We start from the raw sequence: 23479 nt of genomic DNA on the forward strand, positions 1-23479 counted from the left end.
ACAGGGTGATTACAGCTAACAATAATTTATTGTACATTTTGAAATAACTAAAAGAGCATAATTGGATTGTTTGTAACACAAAGAAAGGATAAATGGTTACCCCATTCATCCTGATATTACTCATTGTACGTGGGTATTAAAATATCTCATGTACCCTATAAATATATACATCTACTATCTACCCATAAAAATTTAAAAAAGAATACTCTAATACCATTATATACAAACAATATGTATGTATATCTTTGTATTATTTATGTACGTGTGTGTACAAAGGGGCATTTTAACACTAGCTCAGTAAAGGCACAAACATTGTACAAAACAATTGACTGAAGATAGTTTTCAATATTATTTATCCATCAACTATTGAGTCAAATGAATTTGAGATCTAAGTTAAAGAGTAAACACCACACAGAATCTTAATAATAGAACAACCTAAAAAGGATGGGGTGGAAAATAGAAACATCTCTGAATTTAAATTTTGTCATATGAAAATCAGATCAGAATATCCTATAATACATTTCTGAAGAAACTAAATGTCTGAAAGCAGATTTAAAAGTTTGTAAACAAGGTCTAAAAGATTATTAATAAAAGCTATGAAGTCAAAAGGTCAGCCAGTGATATAGTCCAGAGTTAACGGTATCTTAGAATTCCATATAGAATGATAATAATAAGTGATCATGACTTGATGAAAATAAATTTCATATGGATGGCTTTTACTCTTTAGAAAGTTACAGTTTAGAAGCAAGCTATCTGTAGGGCACAGTGGCTCATGCCTGTAATCCTAGCACCTTGGGAAGACAAGGCAGGACAATCACTTGAGGCCAGGAGTTCAAGAGCAGCCTGGGCAATATAGTGAGACCCAATCTCTACATTTTGGAGTTAGGTGGTAGAGTCAGTCCTACAGAAAGATTCAAAGTTATTTGATGACCACAGGGCAATATAATTTGGTTCCTTATGGTTGCAACTAGAATAAAAGTTAAATTGTTAGGAACTAGGGAAACAAAGCTTATATGGTACAGTAACAATATTCCTCATTGGTTATAAATATTCATATGGTTATAGCTTAAAAAGCATTCATAACTGATTTATTATCTTTGTTTCATTTTCTATATTCAGGTTCCATATTTGGTTATATATGACCAAACTTCTCTGAAAGTTCAGTTCATTTTTATTAAAAAAAAATCTGTTGAAAGATTCTCCTTTAACAATTCTCTCCTGTCCCTGTTAGTCACTGAATTAAATTGTATGTAATCCTGATCATACAAACACCAAAGCAAAGCCAAGTCAATGGAACTTTATTTGCTTTCTTAAACTCCCTTACTGCCCCTGTAGTGGCATTCTCTCCCCCCACAGGCTTGAGTACAATTTTTGTTTTATTTCCCCTTAAACAGCCAGGGCAGTTTCCTCATTATCTGGAACTCAGTTGAAGGTTTCAGGTTTCCCTAGAGATGTTCAGACCAACATAGTTGCACTAAAGTACTAATACTAATGTTTTTGGAACTTGCGATTAGCTTTCTATGTTGTTACTCAACTGATTTGTGAATTATACAGTATAATGAGGATAAACATTTTCTTAATAAACTTAGAAATCTCTAGGTAGACTGAAAGTACTCTATGTACTACAGTGAGAAGAAAAACATGTCCTTATTTTTAAGTACTTATTCAAACTCTGCTAATACAGTACATTCAGTCTTGGTGTAGAAAGTACACGTCGTGAGACTCTGTCTCAAAAAAAAAAAAAAAAAGTACACATCTAGGAATCCACTGCTGCATTAAGACCTTCTCATTTTCCTTTTTCATCTTTTACCAACAAGTGGTTTAAAGCATTAGTCCAGGACACAGAATTTTATGTGGTTACTGGCAAAGGTACTTAAGTAAAACTTCTGTGAAAGAAAAGGAAGGAACATGTTCATTTTCCCAGTTAATGACTAATGTAAAAGAGAAAATGGTTTCAAATGTGTAAATCACTTATACAACAGTGTTTTGAGCAATGGGAATGACCAACAAAACATTGAAGTATCATGAAAGAACATACAACGGTGCTTATTTTTAAGGTTACTGCTGTTTGTTTAATCACCTTTCAGGTCTCTATCAGGAGTGATTCACAGTCATCTCTCCTACTGAATCAGTGCTAACCATTCTCTTCAATTAAATCTGAGAAAAGGCAGCAAAATTCAAGTTCATAAACCCATTTGGAAAATGTTGTGATTTACAAAGTCTCATACACATAAATGTTAAGAAAAAAAAAAAAAAGGATTGTCAATGACAGATTCCAAATGGAATTTTCCCACTATTTCTAGAAGCAGATGCTTTAAGAAATTCATTTTTACTTAGTGAAAATTTTATACAAGAAGAAAATATTCAATCAGTGACTCTAAAATCTGTAAACTTCAGTAGCAGAATTCACAGGACTGTTACAAATTCAAATTGTCCTATCATGGCATAATTACCTCCATGGTTGGCAAATACCAGTAAATATGACCTATTTCCTCAAATATTAATTTTATAGATCTCTGATTAAAGAAGAATGCTACTAAGGCAACATCAGAACTTCAGAACTATACATATTCAACACATTTTTGTGGAGTAAATGGCACAGGAATACTACATAAATCAAATAATAATTGCTTATAAATAACAAAACATTTGCAGATGACCCAAATTCAAGTTTTTGGTAAACCCAACTCCCCATTGCCACCCTGGCCCCGATAGGGTTTCTAAACAGTTACTAGATATATTTTTCTTATCACAGGTATGGCAAGTGTAGAATTAAGCGAGCTGTTATGCTAATTAAAAAATTAGAACATTCAACTTAACAGGAAAATCTTAAAAGATACATTTTGGAATTATAAACTTAATACCTTAAGGGGATGACAGATTGTGACATCACATACCCACACACACACGAGAAAAAACTAGCACCAGTCAGGCTGTGGCTGCACACAGCTATCTTTGTTTATCATTGACTGATATCTGGACTGGGTACTGTTCCCACAGTCTCATATCAGGACAACCATTTAGAAATGAAACAAACCACAGGAAAGAAGCAAGGCAACTCTACAGCTGTCTGGTATGCATCATCACTGCAAACTCAGAACTAAAGAGTTCTCTAATAAAGTTTCTAAATACCAATCCACTATGTTGTTGTCTGGAGATTTAGAGCTGTCCTTATTAGAACTTGATGAACTTCTCCTGTGGTTAATGGCAAGATAATTTTTAGCATCTTCATCAAAGCCATATTCCAAAATATAAGAAATGTCACAGGTAGTCACACTACTTTAAGAAAATTTATAACACATTCTCTTTCCTATTATTATATTATGCTCACCCCTGTGCTGTTTCTATTCTATTCCATCAGCATCCTCTAAGGTCAGGTGATGTCTTAGTGCATTTTCTGTCGGTTAGAACAGAATACCTGAAACTAGGTAATTTATAAAGAAAAAGGAATTTATACAGTTATGGAGGCTGGGAAGGCCATGGTCAAGGAGATGCAGCTGGTGAGAACCTTCTTGCTAGTGGTGACTCTCTGTGGCATCCCAAGATGATGCAGGGTATCACACAGTGCATGCTAACATGCTAGCTCAAGTCTCTCTTCCTCTTCTTATAAAGCTACTAGTTCCCCTCCTATGCTAACCTATTAATCCATTAACTCACTAATCTATTGATCCATGAATTCATTAATCCATTTATAAGGGATCCAATCACCTATTCAAGGTCCCACTTCTCAATACTGCCACACTGGGGATTAAGTTTCAACATGAGTTTTGGATGGCACATTCAACCGTAGCAGTTGGTAATAAACTCTTCGTCATTAAGGTGGATGGAACAAAGGCCACATGTTACTGCTGCTCTCTTCTGACCATGTCTGGTAAGACTGGAGTCACACCCTGATGAGAGCAGAGCCAATTAGATTCTCTTTCTCAGGAATTGAGAATGAGGACTTTAAGACTTTAAGACAGCTAAAGGCACTGCACTCACAAGGTTGGAGGGAAGAAGAGGAAGGGCTGGGGTTGCTATTTTAGGTCCAAGTAAGCAAACAGATAAACCTGGATGGTAGAAAGCAGCAGCAGAATAAAGCAGAAGCAAAAGGAAGCAGAGACCAGAAACGAAATGACCCCCAAAACAGGACCCAATGGCTTTTCAATTTTAGGTTCCAGATCTCTGGGAAATCCAGGTGTACTTGCTCCCCTTAAGTTCAATAAGGAATCTTTGCATACTTCCTATAAAATCATCCCTGCTTTTGTTTTTGTGTTATTAGCTTGAGTGGGTTTCTCAACTCAGATATAAAGATTCTTAATTATGTACAAATTATTGGTTTAAGGTTGATTTTCTTCAACCACTTGTTAACAATCATTTACAACTTGTTCCCTTGATTTGAGACATCATTCTTCTATTTGCATATTAGAGGTTTCTTGGGCAGCAAAGATTTTCAGCACAGTAAAATCTTGAGAAGAGAGGGGTAATGCTATTATAAATTTTACAATGAAATAATTTATTTATTTATTATTTTTTTGAGATGCAGAGTCTTACTGTGTCACCCAGGCTACAGTGCAGGGGCATGATCTCAGCTCACTGCAACCTCTGCCTCCCGGATTCAAGTGATTCTCCTGCCTCGGCCTCCCAAATAGCTGGGACTACAGGTGTGCACCACCACACCCGGCTAATTTTTGCATTTTTAGTAGAGATGGGGTTTCACCATGTTGGCCAGGCTGGTCTTGAACTCCCGACCAAGTGATCCATCTGCCTCGGCCTCCCAAAGTGCTGGGATTACAGGCAGGAGTTACTGTGCCTGGCTGAAAGGAAAATTTTTTATTGATGAATAAGGTAACTACTTACATAATCTGGTAGAGGAACATCATTAGAACTCAGCGAACCTCTCAAGGACTGTGTGGCTTGTTCCAGAACTTTGTTGTGTTTTTTAGACAGCAAAGAAAATAAACTGGAAAAACAAACAAAAAACCAATTATATTAAAGGAACTGTTTTCTTTTCTGTCTTCTGTGGAAATATATAGTTCCACAGCATGTCAATTATTCTAAAATATACTTGTAAATGATTCTTTCTTCATGCCTGTGTTAACAGCAAGATTAATAATAGTATTTATGTAAGAAAAAAGGAGTGGGGAGGATGTTTAAATCATAAGAATTCTAAAAAATTTTTTAATGACAGTTTAAAATTATGTTTCAAACACAGGAGCATTTTTCATAAGATTACTATAGGGAAAAGAATAGTGGCAAAAACCTGAGATGTAGACTATGACTAACTCATAGTGCAATCTACTACAAGTCACTTGAGCTTGTGTATTTTCTCATCTTCTGAAAAAGTGTGTTGGACAAGATTATTTCTCTACTGTCATACAGAGTCTATGGTTCTGTATTATAGCTTTATTTCTCAAAAATAATGATTCAAAATGTTTTATAAGATTTCTGCTTCTGGCCATGACAGATTAACTGATACTGGACTAACTCTCCTGCTATCACTAACTGAAAACTAAAAAAAAAAAATGACACAACTGTTTTCAGATGTAACACAACATGTGAAGTAAAGGATTATAATCCCTAACAAAAGGGAGATGAAGATGAGCCCCATAATGGTGAGCTTCTGTCTCGAGGAACATTGCAGACTATGGTCCAGGAAGGTGGGACCCAAAGAGTACACAGCAGTGTTGTGCTGAGCTAAGGCAGAGAGAGGAATTTAACACTGCTGTGGCAACTGCATTTTGCAAGGTGGAATACTAGAGAGGAGAGAATTTCCAGAAAGCAGGTCCAGAAATCCAAGTGTCTTCTTGAATGTTTGTATAAATGTTAAGCTGTAATGTGCAGAGCAAGACTCCACAAGGTGTGGCAGTAAACAACTACCCAGGAGCTGTAAATTAAACAGAGATTTTGGGGACCATAACAGACTGAGGGATATTGGAGCTCCAACCAGCCAGAAGATAAAAATCAATGAACATGAACATTTAGTTGAATGCTTAGAAAGGCCATGCTTTAGGAGTCAGACTATTCTATTCTAGAGTGCAAATTACTTTATTCTAAGAGGCACCCTAATAGAGCAAAACAAACAATCTTCAAAGAATACAGTTGATTTACATTAAATATAAATGCACTAAACACTCCAGTTAAATGTCAGAGATTTTCAGACTGGATAAAAAAGCGAGACCCAACCATGTGCAGTTTAAAAGAGACACATTTGTAAATTTAAAGATACAGACAAGTTAACAAAAGGATACAAAAAAGACATACTATAAAAACATTAATCATAAGGAAGTTGGAATGGCCATGTTAATTTCCGACAAAGTAGGCTTAAGAACAATATTATTATTACTAGAGATAAAGAGGGAGATTTTATAATGATGAAAGCCAGTTTACCATGAAAACATAACAATCCTAAATACTTATGTGCCTAATAAAAGAACTTCAGAGGTATGTATTATAATTATATGATCCCAATATTAAATTTATTGTATCAAATAAAGAAAGGATTCTTCTTTGGGATAGATGGCAGCTTAAAAACAAAGGCAATTCTGATTCCATGTACTTCCCATAAAAATCTGAAGTATGGCCTTTAGTATTTTTTTATGCCAAAACTTCACTGTAGTATTTAGTAATCCCCTTACAAATAAAATATTTAAATATCAATTTAGGAAAATCTGTAATTATTTCAGATGGTTTAAAAAGGATATCCATTGAAGACAGGGCCACTAAGTAGTCTTTGTAGATTAAGTTTCAACTCATATCATCAAGGAAAAAAATTCCTTAACATTTATTGGTAATGTTAGATGTTGTACAAAACAAACATAACAGAGGCAATGAATATTATTTACATTTATACTTAAATAAAGTGGGAAGAAAAATAATTACATGAAGTAATTACTGAATGAATAAGTATGAAATTTTATGATACTGGTTACATGCTGAGGATATATCTGAACGAACGATTTCTTTGAAATGAAACACTTCTGAAATGAAATACTCCAGTGAAGTTTCATGAAGGTCACCTTAGGCCCTACCCAATGTCTTGAAAAAGAAGAAAGAGTTATCTGTGCAAGAGAGAATAAAAGCCACTTCCAAATAGAAGGCAAAGCACAGAGGCAAAAGTAGGAGAGAGCAAGAAAATTGGAATGGAGGTACTATACAAGAAGTAGAAAACAGAATTCAGTACATAAGAGCACACACTTTTTTCCAATCATTTTATTTTTCTGGGTCTTCTCCATTTGAGGTTTAGTTTTGCTTTATCTTTCCTTTTTAAGGTTAACCGTAAACACCATACTTTCCACTCATCGTTATTCTCATGACCCACTGATAACTAATATTAAGTTTATTGTGTATGATTCCAGAAACCTTATATGCATTAATGCATGTAAACAAATGCATACTGTATACATATATATCCATCTTTGTTATTCCATGAAATATATACTATGCTGTACCTTTCACTTTGTCTATCTAACAATATATTCCTTCATTCATTCAACAAACACATGAGTGTTTACTGTTACTTGATATCAAAGGATATGGATATACCGTAATTTATTTAGTCCATTATTAATCACTCACTGCAATTGTTTCCAAATTTTTATATTATAAACAGCATTGAAATGAACACCCTTGTAAATAAGTTTTAGCATGCCTGAGTGAGACTATCTTTTGGATAAATTGCCTGAAGCAAAACTGCTGAGTAAGAGTAACTGAACATAATACTGAACTGCATTAGGGGGTCCATATTTTCGAGTATGTAAATTATTTTGCAGGAGATGCAAAAAAAAAAAGGTAAAAAAATTGGGATTGTTTATAAGACATGTTTACATGGAAATGCATACAGAAGGAAATCAGTAATACGCTTCTAATTAGTTGCAGTATATTTTCTGGAATAAATGGAATTTCAGAAATTTTTTGAGGCTAAAAGAACTTTGGGTAGTCAATTCTTGCACAAGGTGTGGCAAGACTCAAAAACATAAATTGGCTACCCAAACAAAAAAAGAAAAGCAATAAATATGCCTGAAAGAAGTGAGCTTCTTGGTGTTAGGAAGAAGAAATGGAACAAGTGAAGCACAGCAGCATACTTTGCTTAGTTGAAGAAAAAATAAGAACTCAGGAGGTGCTTCCTGAGTTTAGCAAACCTGGGATGTTCATTCTCACATTCCGTGTGTGTGTGTGTGTGTGTGTGTGTGTGTGTGTGTGTGTGTGTGCGCGCCTGTGTCCCCTATTAGTGCACTATCAGAGAACAATAGAGGTGATCTATAGTAACTCTCATTATCAATTTAAGAAAATTATTAAACAGTCCTAGGGACCAGAGCAAAAAACACTTGAAACTGTTTCTTTTAGAGAAGAAAGGCTAGTTTGTTTGTTTACTGATTTTAAAAGAGAGTATGAACACTCTGTTTTGCTTGCTAGTAGGACACCAAACAAGGAAGTGAGCTTCAATTCAAACATGAGATATTTTGGTTGAGCATAATGGAAAATTTTACTACTAAGGACACAAATGTTGAAATGGTATACCCCAAGAAGCTGTGGATACTGCTTCTAGCTATCTTTAAGAAATTCTCTGTAAGAATAGATCATTTGAGGTCACATTCAGCTCTCCATCGAAGAGAAACAGAGAATTCACACTTCCTTTGTTACTATCATACAATTTAACAGGCATTTTACTAAAATCTTATAGCAAGTACTTTCAAAGTTTTATTTAAACATTATAATTTTGGCTTTTATTTAACATTTTTAAGGCAAAATGTATACGAGACATGACTTGCAAACTGCTTAGTGAAAAGAGTAACTTTTGCTTAAAGCTTTGCATTCAACGTACTTACCCCCAGCTTAATGCTAATCAGAATAAGGAATAAAGATATATGATGTTTGTATGTAAATGGATAAATTTGATTTTAAAAATCAGTCTTAAAAATAAAAATGATCTTTAAGTTAGCTTAATATTCACTTAGCTGGGATCTATTTGCTAGAATACTTTTTTAAAATTTGAAAAAGACTAGTTTTTCTTTTTGCATAAGAATGTTCATTACAAATTTAAAAAATGAAAACAGCCAAAACACTAATCAAGAACAGAATGGGTAAATAAACTGTGGGATAGTTATACAAGGAAATATTATACAGCAATTTAAAATTATCTAATGCTACATGTATGAATATGAATAAATCTCAAAAACAATGTTGAGTAAAAAAATAAGCAGGAATCCTTAGAAAATATGAACAAGCTGATTTTATGTTTTTAAAATGAAAAACAATATTACACATCATTTACAGATAAAATATATTAATAACATCAAATATATATGGAAATGATAAATCCTACACTTAGGATAGCCACTGTTCTCTGAGGAAGGAGGAAAAAGGGAGTCCAGCTCTCACATGAGTACTCCCTCTCTCTCTATATATATATATATGGACACATATACAGTATATATAAAATGTTCTTAGGTAACACTGGATACATACATGAGAGAGTGGTATATTGCTCTATTTTTTGTGTATGCAGGAAGTATTATATAACGTTTTAAAAATCTGATAAAAAGAACATGCTATCTTGAAGAAAACAGAGCCCCTGCCAATGACAGCATTTCACAAAAGAAAGCAGCATGTAAACAGAATAAGTGTGGTCAGTCCAAACGGGAACACGCTGAGAAAATCACAAGCTGGTGGAAATGGCTGTAGTGTAGGGTACACAGATGGTGGCAGGAGATGACACCAGAATGAAGACAGTTTGAAGCCAGACTGTGAAGGGCCGCTTTATGGCACATCAAAAGCCCTGGACTTTTATTCTATTCGGAGTGAGAAGCTAATTCTTACAAAATAATGAAAGAGACATGGCTCCCCGCCCCCAAGGAACTCAAGTCTACTGGGATGAGAAAAAAAAAATTTTTACAATACTGAAATCAGAGAATTCCATGGGTCTGAAGAGAGCACTGTGGGAGAACAGGGGGAAGATTAGGTGCATTCCACAGAGGAAATCTATCTTGACTGTGGCCTTGAAGGTTAGAGGACTTGCTATTTGGAAAAGCAAACGGGGAGGAAGAGTAATTCAGAAGGGGGAAAGTGTTTAGAAAGGCACTGGGAGATTTCAAGGAAATACCCATAACTTATAAGGCAAGAATAGAGAAAACTCACAGGGGTGAGAAGTGGCAAGAAATGAAGCCGGTAAGACAAGAGGGGCCAAATAAGAAGGCCACATGGACCATGCTAAGAGGTCTGCATTTCATCTTGCTCAGCCATTGAGACAGACAGTGAGTCAAATATTTACCCAGCGCCTAGTATGTGCCAGGCAATGTGAAAGCAAAAGCAACACAGTTTCTGTCCTGCCTCCCCAGAGGGCGCAGTCAGGTGAAAAAGGACGTGCCTAAATAGACTGGAGGTGAACATGGAATGTTAGGGGAACACAGGTGAGGACTGCTCAACTGCACCTGAAGGGAGAAAGAGGCAATCACTTTGGGAGATGATGCCTGCACTGCTTCTTAAGAAACAATTAGGAGTCAGCTGAGCAAATCAGGCAATCACAAAGGTGAGTTGGGCAGAGAAATACGAGTCCTGTGGGTGGGGGAAACAGCACTGCACGTGCATCAAGTGTTGAGTACACAGCAGAGCACAGCAATGAGGCTGGGTAGCAGTGAGGATGGCTTATCAACTGCCTCATGTCTCTCTCAGACCTTGGACTTCATCCTGAAAGCCAGACGTGTTCTATGAAAGCAGGACTACAATATGAGAAAGTGATCAACGCAAAACTGCTGTGTTTGGTATTGAGGTGTGAGGTGGGAGGCAGGGCTCAGCAGTAAGGATGGCAGATTACTCCTTGTGCCTCTATGTCCTAAGCCTCCTCCCTATGCCCTGCCATCTATGGTGGCCACAGAGTCTCTACCATGGAACTTCAGGGCTCCTAGAACCGAAGGTTGAAAACCACTGACCTGAGCAATGTGGGCCAAGTGTATAAAATTCTACTTGTTTTAGAAAGACTCCTCTGCTCCTGGAGAAAAGGATGGACAGGAGATGACAAGTGAACAAGACTAGAAACAGAACCTTTAGGAAACGTCCATATTATCCAAATAAAGAGATGAGGATGCCTTAAAGCAAATGGGAGCTATGTGGAAGGCAGAGACAGCATGGAGCGGGAAAGAAGGGAATCAGGGCTGACTGAGGTCTCTAACTTGGGAAACACAGTGGCTAGCTGATAAGGTGACTGACATGCTAGGAATACAACAAGTTGAAAGGGAGGGAGAGCGCTCAGGAAGAAAAAGAAATTAATAACAGTAGCAGCAGTTATGAGTTATATATCAGGTGCTGTCCATCTAACAACCATGTGAGGTAGGTCCTACCATTATCCATTCTCCCTCCCCCTTTTATAAATAGATGATGGAATTGAACCAGAGAGAGTAATTTGCCCAGGCACACAGCTAAGTGGTGGAGTCAGGAGTCAATGCTAGCATTGCTGGCTCTAGAATCTGTGCTCTTAACAAATCTTCTAGGAAACCTACAGGTGCTCAGGAACAACAGGTGGAGATGGTCAGAAAGAAGCAGATGGGCAGTTTAGAAATACTAATTTGGTGCTCAGAAGAGAGGGGAGGAGAAATTTTAGGCTATTTGCATCAGCTGCAATCACAAAAGTGGAGGTGATCACCCAAGGATATTGTGTAATGTAAGAAAGAACTGTATGAGGTCGGGTGTGCTGGCTCACACCTGTAATCCCAGCGCTTTGGGAGGCTGAGGCGGGTGGATCATGAGGTCAGGAATTTCAGACCAGCCTGACCAACATGGTGAAACCCCATCTCTAATAAAAATACAAAAACTAGCTGGGCGTGGTGGCACGTGCCTGTAATCCCAGCTACTCAGGAGGCTGAGGCAGGAGAATTCTTGAACCTGGGAGGCAGAGGTTGCAGTGAGCTGAGATTCTCAAGTGCTGCACTCCAGCCTGGGCAACAAAGTGAGACTCCGTCTCAAAAAAAAAAAAAAAAAAAAAAAAAAAAGCAACTGTGGGAAACACCAAGACCGAAAGGGTGAACAGAGGCCAGAAAGGGTCACTTAAATAAGAAGTAGGAGAAGAACTAGGAAAGAAAGACATTCTGGAAGCCAAGAGAACAATTTTAAGGAGGAAATAATCATCACTGTTAAAAGCTGTCAAATAGTAAAGTAGGATTTACCAAAAACAAACGTACAAACAAAAACAAAACCCAACAACAACAAAAAAACAAAAAACGAAGTCACTGGATTTGGCACAAGGAAACAAATCAGTGGTGACTTTATCCACTGTCAGAGGGGAGGAGGAGGCGGAAGCTGGACTGCAGCGCTTGAGAAATAAGCAGGATGTGAGGAAGTACAGAAAATAGGTGTAGATTTTTAAGAAGTTGAACATTGCTGGGGAGCAGAGTGCTAGAGTAATGCTCCGAAGGTAAAGGGAACGCATCACAGAAAGGTCACTTACTGGGAGGGGGTGTGGAGGTTCTGTCTTTGAAAGTTTCAGACATTTCCTATGAGAGCCCTGCCAATCCTCACAACTCTCAGCCAACTTCTCTCTCCATGCCTCAGTCCTTCCTCTAACACACTAGTAACAGCAGTCATAGGGGAAAAGAGAAGTAACTGAACTCCACAAAAGACCTGGGAGCAGATGATTTACAGATAAAGAAACCTAGGTGTAGAGAGTTAGGTGCTTGACCCGTGATCAAATTTACATTATGTAGTGAATACAAAAGTTCTTTATAAATCCTAAAGAGCTACTAAAATGTAAAACAATAAAAAATTAAAAAAACCAAAAAACTATTAAAATTATTAGAGGTGGAGTGGGAGCTACAAACCAAATCTCACACCAAGTGTCATGCTCTCATCTGTAGACACTGATTCCCTCTACGTGTAGACACCCCTCCTTCCTCCTCTCCTACAAGTCCTTACAGCCCCCATACCACCGATTCCACACCCTCTGGGAAAGATTTCTCAAACCTGTGCTCTCCCTGCTTCTGAACCACTGGTGGTCCTTAATGACAGCCCTATGCTACTGGTTACCTTAGTTTTAATCAGCTTTATTGAGAAATAATCTTTATATAATAAAACTCACAAATTTTAAGTAGACAGTGCAATGAAAAATGTTTTTGAAAAATGTAAACATTCATGTAATCCATCACTACAATAATGATACAGACCATTTCCATTACCCCAAAAAGTTTCCTTGGGCTCTTTTACACTCAATCTCCTGCTCCAATACCCTTCCCCTCACCCTTCCAGGCAACCACTGATCTGCTTCCTGTCACTGTAGTTGCCTTTTCTAAAATTTTCTGCAAATAGAATTATACCTTAGGTACTCTTTTGTGTCTGCCATCTATCACTCAGCATAATGCTTTTCAAATGCATCCATGCTGTTTTGTATATCAGTAATTCATTCCTTTTTATTGCTGAGTAGTTTTCCATTGCACAGACGTGCCTCGATTTCTTTATTTATCAGTGTTGGTCTATTAAGAAGGCTGCTGTAAACAGTTGTACAGGTTTTTGTGTGAACATATGTTTTCATTTCTCTTGAATACATACCTATGAGTAAGATTGCTGGATTGTATGTTATTTGTTTCACTCTATAAGAAACTGCTAAACCGTTGCACATTCTTGCTAACACTTGGCATTTCAGTCTTTTTCACTTTAGCCATTTTAGTGGGTGTGAAGTAATTTTCTTTGTGGTTTTAATTTGCATTTTCCAAATGAGTTTTCTAGTGCTCATATGTTGTCTTTGGTGAAGTGTCTATTCAAATCTTTGCCCATTTAAAACAATGGGTTGTTTTTCTTCTCCCTGAGTTGTAAGAGTTCTTTATATATTCTGGATACAAGTTCTTTATCAGGTATAAGTTTTGTAAACATTTTCTCCCAGTCTATGGCCTGTGGGTGGTGGTAGTGGGGCAGTTTGTCTTTTTCATTTTCTTCAAAAAACAGTGTCTTTTGAAGAGCAAAAATTTTAAATTTGATGAAATTCATCAGTTCATCACATTTTTAAAAAATTGTTTGTTTTTTATGTCCTATCTAAGAAATCTTTGCCTAATCCAAGATCCCAAAGATTTTCTATGATTTCTTCTATAGTTTTACAGTTAAGTTTTAAGTTTTATAGTTTTAGTTCTTATATTTATGTCTATGATCCATTTTGCATTAATATGTGTATATGGCATGAAGAGTCACAATTTATTTAATTGGTTTGGGTGTTTTTTTTTTAATTTGTGCATATAGCTATTTAATTGTTCCAGTACCATTTGTTGAAAAGATTATCCTTTCCCCCTTAAATTACCTTGGCACCCTTGTTGAAATTTCATTGAGCATATATGCACTGGTCTATTTCTTGATTCTATTCAATTCCATTGGTCCATAAATCTGTCATACACTATTATCCCACTGTCTTGATTACACCAGCTTTATAGTAAATCTTGAAATCAGGTAGTGTGAGTCTTCCAACTTAGGCTTTGTCAAAATTGCTTTTGGCTATTCTAGGTCCTTTGTATAATATTGAATCAACTTGTCATTTTCTACCAAATCACCTGGTAAGGTTTTGATTAGGATTGTGTTCAACGTATAGATCAATTTCAGGATCTTAACAATACTAAGTCTCTAATCCATGAGGATAAAATCACCCTGTTTACTTAGGTCTTCCTTAATTTCTTTCAGCAATGTTTTATAGTTTTCAGTGTACCAGGTCTTGAATGTATTTTAAGTCTATTCTTAAGTTATTTCATATTTTTGATGCTGCCGTAAATGGCATTATTTTTCAATTACTGATTGTTCATAGCAAGAATGTAGAAATAAATTTGCTATATGCTGACAATAACAAATTTAACAGTAAATTCAACAATAAAATTATTATATACTGACCTTTTTGTGTCCTATGATCCTGCTAAACTCATTTAGCAATCCTAGTAGGTTTCTTGTAGATTCATTAGGACTTTTAAAACACATATTCATGTCTTGTGCAAATAGCTAAATAGTTAATAAAATTTAAAAGATAGTTCTAAATCTTCTTTTCTAATCTGGATATTAAAAATTTCTGTTTCTTGACTTATGGCACTGGCTAGGACCTATAGTACAATACTGAATAAAGGTCAGAGTACATATTCTTGCCATTTTCCTGATCTTAGGGGAAAAGTATCATTTTTCACTAAGTATGATTTTAGCTGTAAGGTTTTCATTGATGCTCTTTGTCAGGTTGAAGAAATTCCCTCTATTCCTTGTTATGTGAAAGCTGGTTTCATTTCTTTTCATAAATGGCCATTGAATTTTGTCAAATGCTTTTTCTGTACCTACTGAGATGATCATATAGTTTTCTTTTTAAGTCTAATAAAATAGTGGATGGTACTGATTGATTATGGCATGTTAAACCAGACTTACAATTCCTAGGATGGGTCCCAATGGTATCTTTTTCTATGATGATGATGTAGATAAGAATGATGGCAGCTAGCACTTACTGAGAATGTGCTCTATGCCACACATCTCTCTAACCTTTTACATTTGTTAACTAAATATACAGCTCCTTAATGAAGACAGTATTATTATTAACATCACATTATAAGTGATGACATACAGAAGTAAATTAACTTGCCAAGGACTATACTATTCATAAATGGAAGAGCTAGAATTCACAGCCTGGTAATCCGAGTCTAGACCATGGACTCATTACACTACTTCATTATCTCTTATATGGAGATTTATTAATTATGATGGCTATTTTTCTTGTCCAATATGATTCACTCTCACCCCCTACTTTCAGAAACAGAAACTACTTTCCTGAAAAAAGTGAGATTATGACACAGGCTCATTCCCTGAGTCACAAAGATTGGTCAATGAATATAAGCTCTAGTTGAGCCAGCTGGAAATATTCCCTAGGATTTTACTAACTAGAAAGGGTGAGAAAGCTGCTTTTTCTCTCTGGTTAGAAGATTGTAAAGACGTAATCCCGGAGTTGGCTATGGTCACGCTTAGCTTCACAGAGAAAACCCATGTGCAAGAAGAGAGAATGAAGTGAACTTAAGCTGAGACAGAGAGAGAGCGAGAACTGAGGGAAAAGGCTGAAGAAGAAAGGGACAGATAACGATGGTTCTAACAAATACGGAAAACATGTGAGGATTAATACACCATAACAGAAAAAAACATCAAAGCCGACGAAGACAGAACAAATTCATGTTATGAAACTTGTCTCTTTTTACTTGCAGATTATAATAGAAATAGTAACTTCCCAAGCTTTTTTTCTCTATCAAATTATGTCATCTTAATTATTTGTTTGCTTCAATATGCGGCTTCATAGTTGCTCTTAAACTGCTACACACAAGTGTAATGCATATTTGTACTGTAAACATGTATTTTTCCAAATGCCAAGTTCATTTAAGGCCTTGATTGTAGATCCTTGGACAGTGTTCTGCGCACAACATGGTCTAAAATATGCTTACTACTAATTGATGATTTATCTTCTTTTCTATCGTTCTTACTCCAATAAAAGAAACTGCAATGACGTCGGTATTCTTGCCTTACAAAATCAGAAACAAGCAGTCTTAGTTGATTTTAGTTTAAAAATCTTATCTTTAAGGACCAAAAGTTAAAATGAAGGAAAGACTAATTACGTAACAATCTTTACTAAGAACACTGACATTTATACAAAGAAGCAAGGTTAGGGCAGGGTAAACTGCCCGTTCATTCACATTTAATTGCCTTACTAACCATAAACATTATTTTAGGTTTATAATAACTAGCTTAAAATTCATTTCCATCCAGGACAAGAGCTAAAATGATGTTGATTTTATGGAATAAAAGGTGGAGAACAAAATAACAAAACTCAGCACCACCAGCTTGCTGACTGTCAAGTAATGCTTGTTAAAATGCAAATGTCTTGTGACTAGCAGTACACAGCATAATGCATGGACAACAGATGTGTCCATCAGTACACTAAGCACCACACATGTTCTAGTAGAACCTACTGCTCCATATTTCAACACTATAAAGAAAACACAATAACTCATCTTCTTCAAAAACTCTATATATAGTAAAAGCAAAAGACAAAGAAATATATGTGTGATATTTAGTGAAAGAGGTTCCCACCAAAAGGGCACACCCTGCATTGTAACTGGAGAAGCCAATCCTAGAATCCTAAAAACACATAATGTATCTTAGCAAGAACTCAAAATTATAGTACAACATTCAGTATGACCTTCATGGTATGACTGCATAATCAAAAATTATATGTAAACCCAATAATAACTAGTCATACAACATGGCAAAGTATTGGACTAAACAATGTTTCTTTAAAAAAATGCTGAAACTCAGGAATTGAATTTCCCCTAGCTAAGGTAACTAAAGTCAAAATGTGGAAGACATAGAAAGAAAACTGAAAGATGGCTAACAACTTAAAAAATGATGTTACAAAAATTATTACTGATAAAATATGTTGAAAATAATAGGTAAAATACACAATCTGTCAATATACACTCTGGTAACTATACTACCAAATTTATAAGAGACTGAAATAAGAGAATCTAACATTAGCTTAAAGACAATTATTTTCATTTTCCACAAAAACATTCATGCAAATTTCATTTGTGTTTTTAACATAAGCACATTTTTTTTCAATTTTTTTTTTAAGAAACAGGGTCTCATTCTGTTGACCAGGCTAGAGTACAGTGGTGCAATCATAGCTCATGACAGCCTCAAGCTTCTGGACCCAAGTGATTCTCCAGCTTCAGCCTCCTGAATAGCTGGGACAACAGGCACGTGTCACCAAGCCTGGCTTTTTTTTTTTTTTTTTTTTTGCAGAGATGAGGTCTTGCCTTGTTGCCCGCACTGGTCTTGAACTTCTGGCCTCAAATGATCCTCCCACTTCAGCCTCCCAAAGTGCTGGGATTATAGGTGTGAGCCACTGTGCTTGGCTTCTTTCCAATTTTGACTAGATTTGGTCAGAAATGTTATTTAGCAAAAATTACAAAATTAAAAATTGGTAATTTATCTAAAAAGCACTTTACTCCTTTTATACATATTTCATGGACAATGGATTTTAAAAATGTATATATCCTTTATAAACTAAACTACGATGAAAGTCTAATTTTTTATAATTAGTATGCAATTCTAAAGATATCGATCTTATTAGAAGTTTTATGGTATTTTCTCTATTAGAAAATTATGTTCTGTAAAGAAAGAGATTTTCTGACTTGAAAGAAGTTTGGTTGTCTTTTTCGGTGACCCTTTCTTAGTCTCTTGAGAAAATTGCACACCAAGGAAATAGCAAATCTGTCCAGTTTTTTAAAAATCCTATGGCACAGTGTCACTAATTTATGGGAATAATTGGGATCGAAATAACATTGAAAGAGAAAATTCATTTGGAAAGTGGAATGACCTCACAGTGAGTGCAAGAGGAGCCAGGATGGCAGGGTAGAAGTTATTATTATCACAGGTCATAAGGCACTTCCTAAGTGTAAAGAAATTTCCTCTCAGGGGAAACCTACCAAATAAAGCATGTTTACTATATGTCAGATTTTACAAAGATAGTCACAGGAAACATGATACTGCTAACTTTGGGGAAATGCTGCAGAGTACCTATAACTACGTTATAACACAATTGATAGCCAAAATATTTCCCAGGTGTTGGACCCTTAATTTGAGAATCTCAACTGGAACTTTGAAATTTCTTTTTTGCTTAGCCCTTAATCTTAATTTAGTGAATATAATTAGTCTTTGGGATGGCCATAGGAACAGGAAGCCTTAACTGGAATTATAGGTCTTTACTGGTAAATGCCTTTTTTCAACACCTATTAGCTTCATCACTATAAAAAAATCTTATGTCTGTAAAAACTTTATCCATTTATTTCAACTTCCTTTTGATCTTTGTGTACCTAATTATTAATTTATACTTGTCCTACACATTTTTCCCATGTCTTCCTTTATCTTTTGTTTGTAGGTTTGTCTCATTTCTTATGTGAATACAAGTTCAAGGGCACAGATGTCCATTCCTCTTTTCTTCTTTTAACACTTCCACAATGCCTCCTGTATATACCAATGGTTTCAGTGGGTTAATGATCCCTCATTTTCCTTTTAAATAAACTATCTACTGACTGGTGGATAAGATATTCTTTGAGTTAAAGTTCTAAAACTACTTTTTAGAAAAACCACAAAACCAATCATATATTTACAGTAACTTCATAAGAAACCCATCTCTACTGTGACTCATCCTGAATAAAGAAGTAGCTCCCTTTCCAACCTCTTAATACATAAACCGAAACCACAAAGAGAGAACAATTTCCATGAATGAAGTTGTTATCAATGCCTATAGGAAAGCCATGGATTTAACTCCTTAGGCCTTAAATTAGAATCTTAATTTAACACAGTTCTCAGAAAGCTCAGTTACTGGCTTCCTCAGTGAAAGCTTCTAAATAATAAAAGCAACAAAGAAGAAAGGAAAACCAGAATGGGAATATGTGGAAATGGGAAAAATCTAAGAGTAGTGTGACCAAAAAGAGAAAAATGGGCCTCAACATCAAAGAAGGAGCAAACTCAGAATTCCACTATGGTTTAGTACATCAGTACATGCTCAAATCAACAACCCTGCAGCAATGAGAAAAAGATTCAAATGTGTGTAAGGTCTTTACTTCAAACTCCTAAAAGTCTGCAATAGCAAGATCTCTATCCCAAATACTTTCTAACATTTTTAAGGTGGCGCTTTAGTGAAACATACTTTTGTTATTTGGAAAATATGTGGAACTGCACAATTCCCAAGAATGCTAGATAAATGATGTATCACTTAAAGATTCTTATGGTTTCAAATAGCCCAGTTATTTCAATATCAACAGAATATTTCCAAAATGATAAAATTATAATTCTTTCTAATAAAAATACACTAACAATAGAGAAAATAAACGATAGTAATCCTCAGAAATAACCATGGATTAAATGTACTTTTGGAATATAGTCCTTTATTATAACTACCGATAATTACAGAGGTAGAATTCTATCAGTAGTTTTAAGAATGCCACCATCTCCAGATAATATTATAGATCAAATCAAGTTGGGTATAACCTGATAGGAAATAATCTATTTTAAGAACTGTAATTAATGTTTAACCATGTAACCCCCCCACCACGCCCCCATTTTCCTAAAACCCAGACATAAATTCATGCTTCGTGCTCCCTCTGCTGGCTCAAAAGCTACAGTTAATTCCCATTACAGCACACTGAAGGGCATTGATACATTATATTTGGGATCTTCACAATGTAATCCAGCTCCCTTCTTTGAGTGTTGATGAAAAACAAGAGAGGTGACAACTAGACCACAGTCACAAAGCTTTCTGAGAGCCAGAACAACTCTGGTCTTTTGACTCCCAATCCAGTGCTCTTTCCATTCCATAATGATCTCACTGCCTTCATGTATGAGACTATTACTGAACTTTATTTTGCTATGAGTTATTTAAAATCTGAAGCTCAGTAGCTTTGGGTTACACAGACTTTTCACTGTACTGTAATTACAACTGATAAGGAGATTTGACCAATATTCAGTAAAGATCTATTAGGCTTAAAGAGTGTCTCCATTTCTAATTTGTTTGAACAGTGTCCAATTTAAGACACCTACTGTAAAGTTTCTTGATATACTGAGTACTTAAAATGTCACCTAATGTGATTCTACCATTTGCTTACAAACCATGTCACAACTTTTGACTTGGAATATATAGTTACCACACAATATATCTTCAGGTCTGTCAAAACCATAAAGTTATTTTGTTGTGATGATGATGATGATGATGACAACAACGATGAATAGGCTTATAGTTACCATCTATAGAGTATCTATTACACAACAAATACAGGATTGGGTCTTTAGAGAAATCATTGTCAACATAAGGTAGATATTACTATCCCTATTTTACAGAGAAGGGAGCTGAGGGAAAGTAAATTGCCCAAGGTCTGTTTAACACGAAGTATCTACTGCTTCCTCTGTATGTAAATGCTTTGATATTTTGTTCATTCTTAATCAGCAGAGATAGCAACAGTAAAATAATCTCTTACTACCAGCACCATCATTTCCACTTAAGGCAAAAAAAGAAAGCAAAAGATACTTTATTCAAAGCATGAATCTGTTGAACTTCTTTAAAGTTTATACTAAAGTGGAGAGGGTTAATATTTTCCTTACTTTTGGTAGAGGAAATTACATGACCTAGACTATAAATGTTAGTATTTAATTCCAGTTTACTTTTGTATAATAGATGTATTTAATTATTTGTCAAGTGATCTGTTGTATGGAAAAACCTAACTCTAGTCTGATAACAATGCTAGTTAGATAGAAACAAACAGTCCCAGATTAAAGAATCTAATCTGTTCAGTCAAAAAGTAAATATTTATTAAGCTAGAATATACAAGTCTATCTTTGTAAGGAAGACTTTTTTCTTGATAAGAGATATAAATTATTATCTAAATCATGGACAGCTTTTATTCAAAATGAAGTTTAATTTCTGTGTTCCTTTTGAAACCAGAAAACTATAGATGTCAGTGCCCATCCTCGTTCTCTGGTAGTGATTAGTTGTTATTTTCATAAATGGGAATCATATTAAATAAAGAATTTAAATAGGAAAACAATGTTAAAGTGAACACCTTTCTCAATTATTTATCAGTAACCTATATGGACAGTACAGGCAACAAATGTCAATATTCTAGAAATGAGAAAGTAGCCTATGGTAAACTCCACATTAAGGAACTTAAAGAAAATTGATAAATGATTGTAAATTTTAACCTTGCACAATTTAACATGATAAACTTGATACCTGGGGCACTACAGCTAGCATCATATAATATTTATGGATACCAATGATTTTTCAACTGAAAGATAAAATAACCTCATTTTTGATGTTATGCAGAAAGGAATATAGGCTAATTCAGACACATTTGTATTTAAACACCCACTCCTCCATTTAATAGCTCATGGGATTTCTGACACTTAATTTTTCTGAGACTCAGTTTCCTTATACTTGGTGATAATGATGGTGGCAGTTAAGAGTTGCTGTGATGGTTAAATTGAGGGAATTAATGTAAAAACCCTTAAGAGAGAACCTATGGAAAAAGTCACCATTCAGTTCCAATTGATTTCTGGCATGGAGGACTGTGGGCTCTGCATTGCCAGCTATTCCAACTTGTTATATGTTAGCAACAAATTCTAACTTCAAAAAACCAAAACCAAACAAACAAAAAAAACTGTGCAAACCAAACACAGCACCTCTCTAGCCTGAGTCCAGGCTGCAGGCCGTTAGTATGCAGTTTCTGATTTGGAGAATCACTGGAAATACCACGTCATGAAATGCAGCAAACCATCTAGAGTCAAGGTCGTGTTGGAGTTAGATGGGTATTTTAAACAAAAGAGATGTGCTCTGGTAAGAAAAAGTCAAGGATAAAAGTTAAGATGATTTATGAGAGAAACCCAAAGCAAAATGAATGTTTCCGTGGAACAGCATGATTTTGAGATCACTCAGAACTATATTTATATGCCAATGAAAAAATCTTTAATTTTTACATAAATGCATTTTAATTTAATCCTTGATCCCCCAGTAAAGAGAACATGTTATTCTGTTTTACGAGACACAAACCAGCTGGTTTATAATAGAATTGTCCAGAGTCCCCACAATACAGGTTGAATTTCCTTCATCTGAAATGCTTGGAACCAGAAGTGTTTTTAATTTTGAATTCCTGCAAATTTTGGAATATTGGCATGATACTTACCAGGTGAACATACCAAATCCAAAAATTTGAAATCCAAAATGCTCCAGTGAATGTTTCCTTTGAGTATTATGTCGGTGCTCAAAACGTTCTGAATTTTGGAGCATTTTGGATTTTTAGATTAGGGATACCTAATCTGTGTAACCATCATATGTTCAAGATACAGCCCAAAATTACTCCACATACAATCTTGGCCAAAGGTTTATCATTTTTGTTGATCTTCTCAAGGAATGAGCTTTTGGTTTTAATTTTATCTACTGCATTTGTTTTCTATATCAGTGATTCCTGCTTTTTATTATTTTTATTTTATTTTGGGCTTAATTTGTTGTTCTTTTTCTAGTTTCTTAAGGTGAAAGCTGAAGTCACTGATTTGAGATCTTTCTTTCTTTCCAATATAGGCATTTCAGGCTATACCTTCCCCTTAAAATACTGCTTTAGTGGCAGCCATCCCACAACATTTGATATGTTCCATTTTCATTTTCACTTAGTTTAAAAATCGCTTTTGGTTTCTTCTTTGATTCATGGATTATTTAGAAGTATGTTATTTAATTTCCAAATATATGGGGATTTTCCAGAAAGTTATCCATTATTGATATCTATTATAATTCCATTGTTGTCAGAAAACAAACTTTCCATGACTTGAATCTTATAACCTGAATCTTACTGAGACTTGTTTGATGGCATAGAATATGGTCTTTGTTGGCAAATGTTCCTATGCAAATGTTTTGGCTGGAGCTGTTATTGGTTGGAGTGTTCTATAAATGTCAACGAGGTGAAGTTGTTTGATAGCA

The 23479-nt window shown here is 35.3% G+C and overlaps 1 protein-coding gene across 40 annotated transcripts in view, besides 2 other annotated features; it reads right to left on the reverse strand.

Moving 5' to 3' along the window:
- DYM (dymeclin) overlaps positions 1–23479 on the reverse strand; it is a 424259-nt gene that overhangs the window by 122459 nt on the left and 278321 nt on the right. For all 40 annotated transcript variants that reach the window (NM_001374439.1, XM_047437559.1, XM_047437553.1 and 37 more), the window contains one exon: positions 4840–4942. In NM_001374439.1, coding sequence (NP_001361368.1) covers positions 4840–4942 — 103 coding nt within the window. The remainder of the gene's footprint in view (positions 1–4839; positions 4943–23479) is intronic.
- Positions 3003–3062: a silencer, noted in NCBI's record as "silent region_9446". NCBI's record gives its function as "represses an Ori minimal core promoter by ATAC-STARR-seq in GM12878 lymphoblastoid cells {active_cell/tissue: GM12878}" and the evidence as "EXISTENCE:reporter gene assay evidence [ECO:0000049][PMID:35858748]".
- Positions 10339–10398: an enhancer, noted in NCBI's record as "active region_13307". NCBI's record gives its function as "activates an Ori minimal core promoter by ATAC-STARR-seq in GM12878 lymphoblastoid cells {active_cell/tissue: GM12878}" and the evidence as "EXISTENCE:reporter gene assay evidence [ECO:0000049][PMID:35858748]".

Source organism: Homo sapiens, chromosome 18 (genome assembly GCF_000001405.40).
Source record: "Homo sapiens chromosome 18, GRCh38.p14 Primary Assembly".
NCBI lineage: Eukaryota > Metazoa > Chordata > Mammalia > Primates > Hominidae > Homo > Homo sapiens.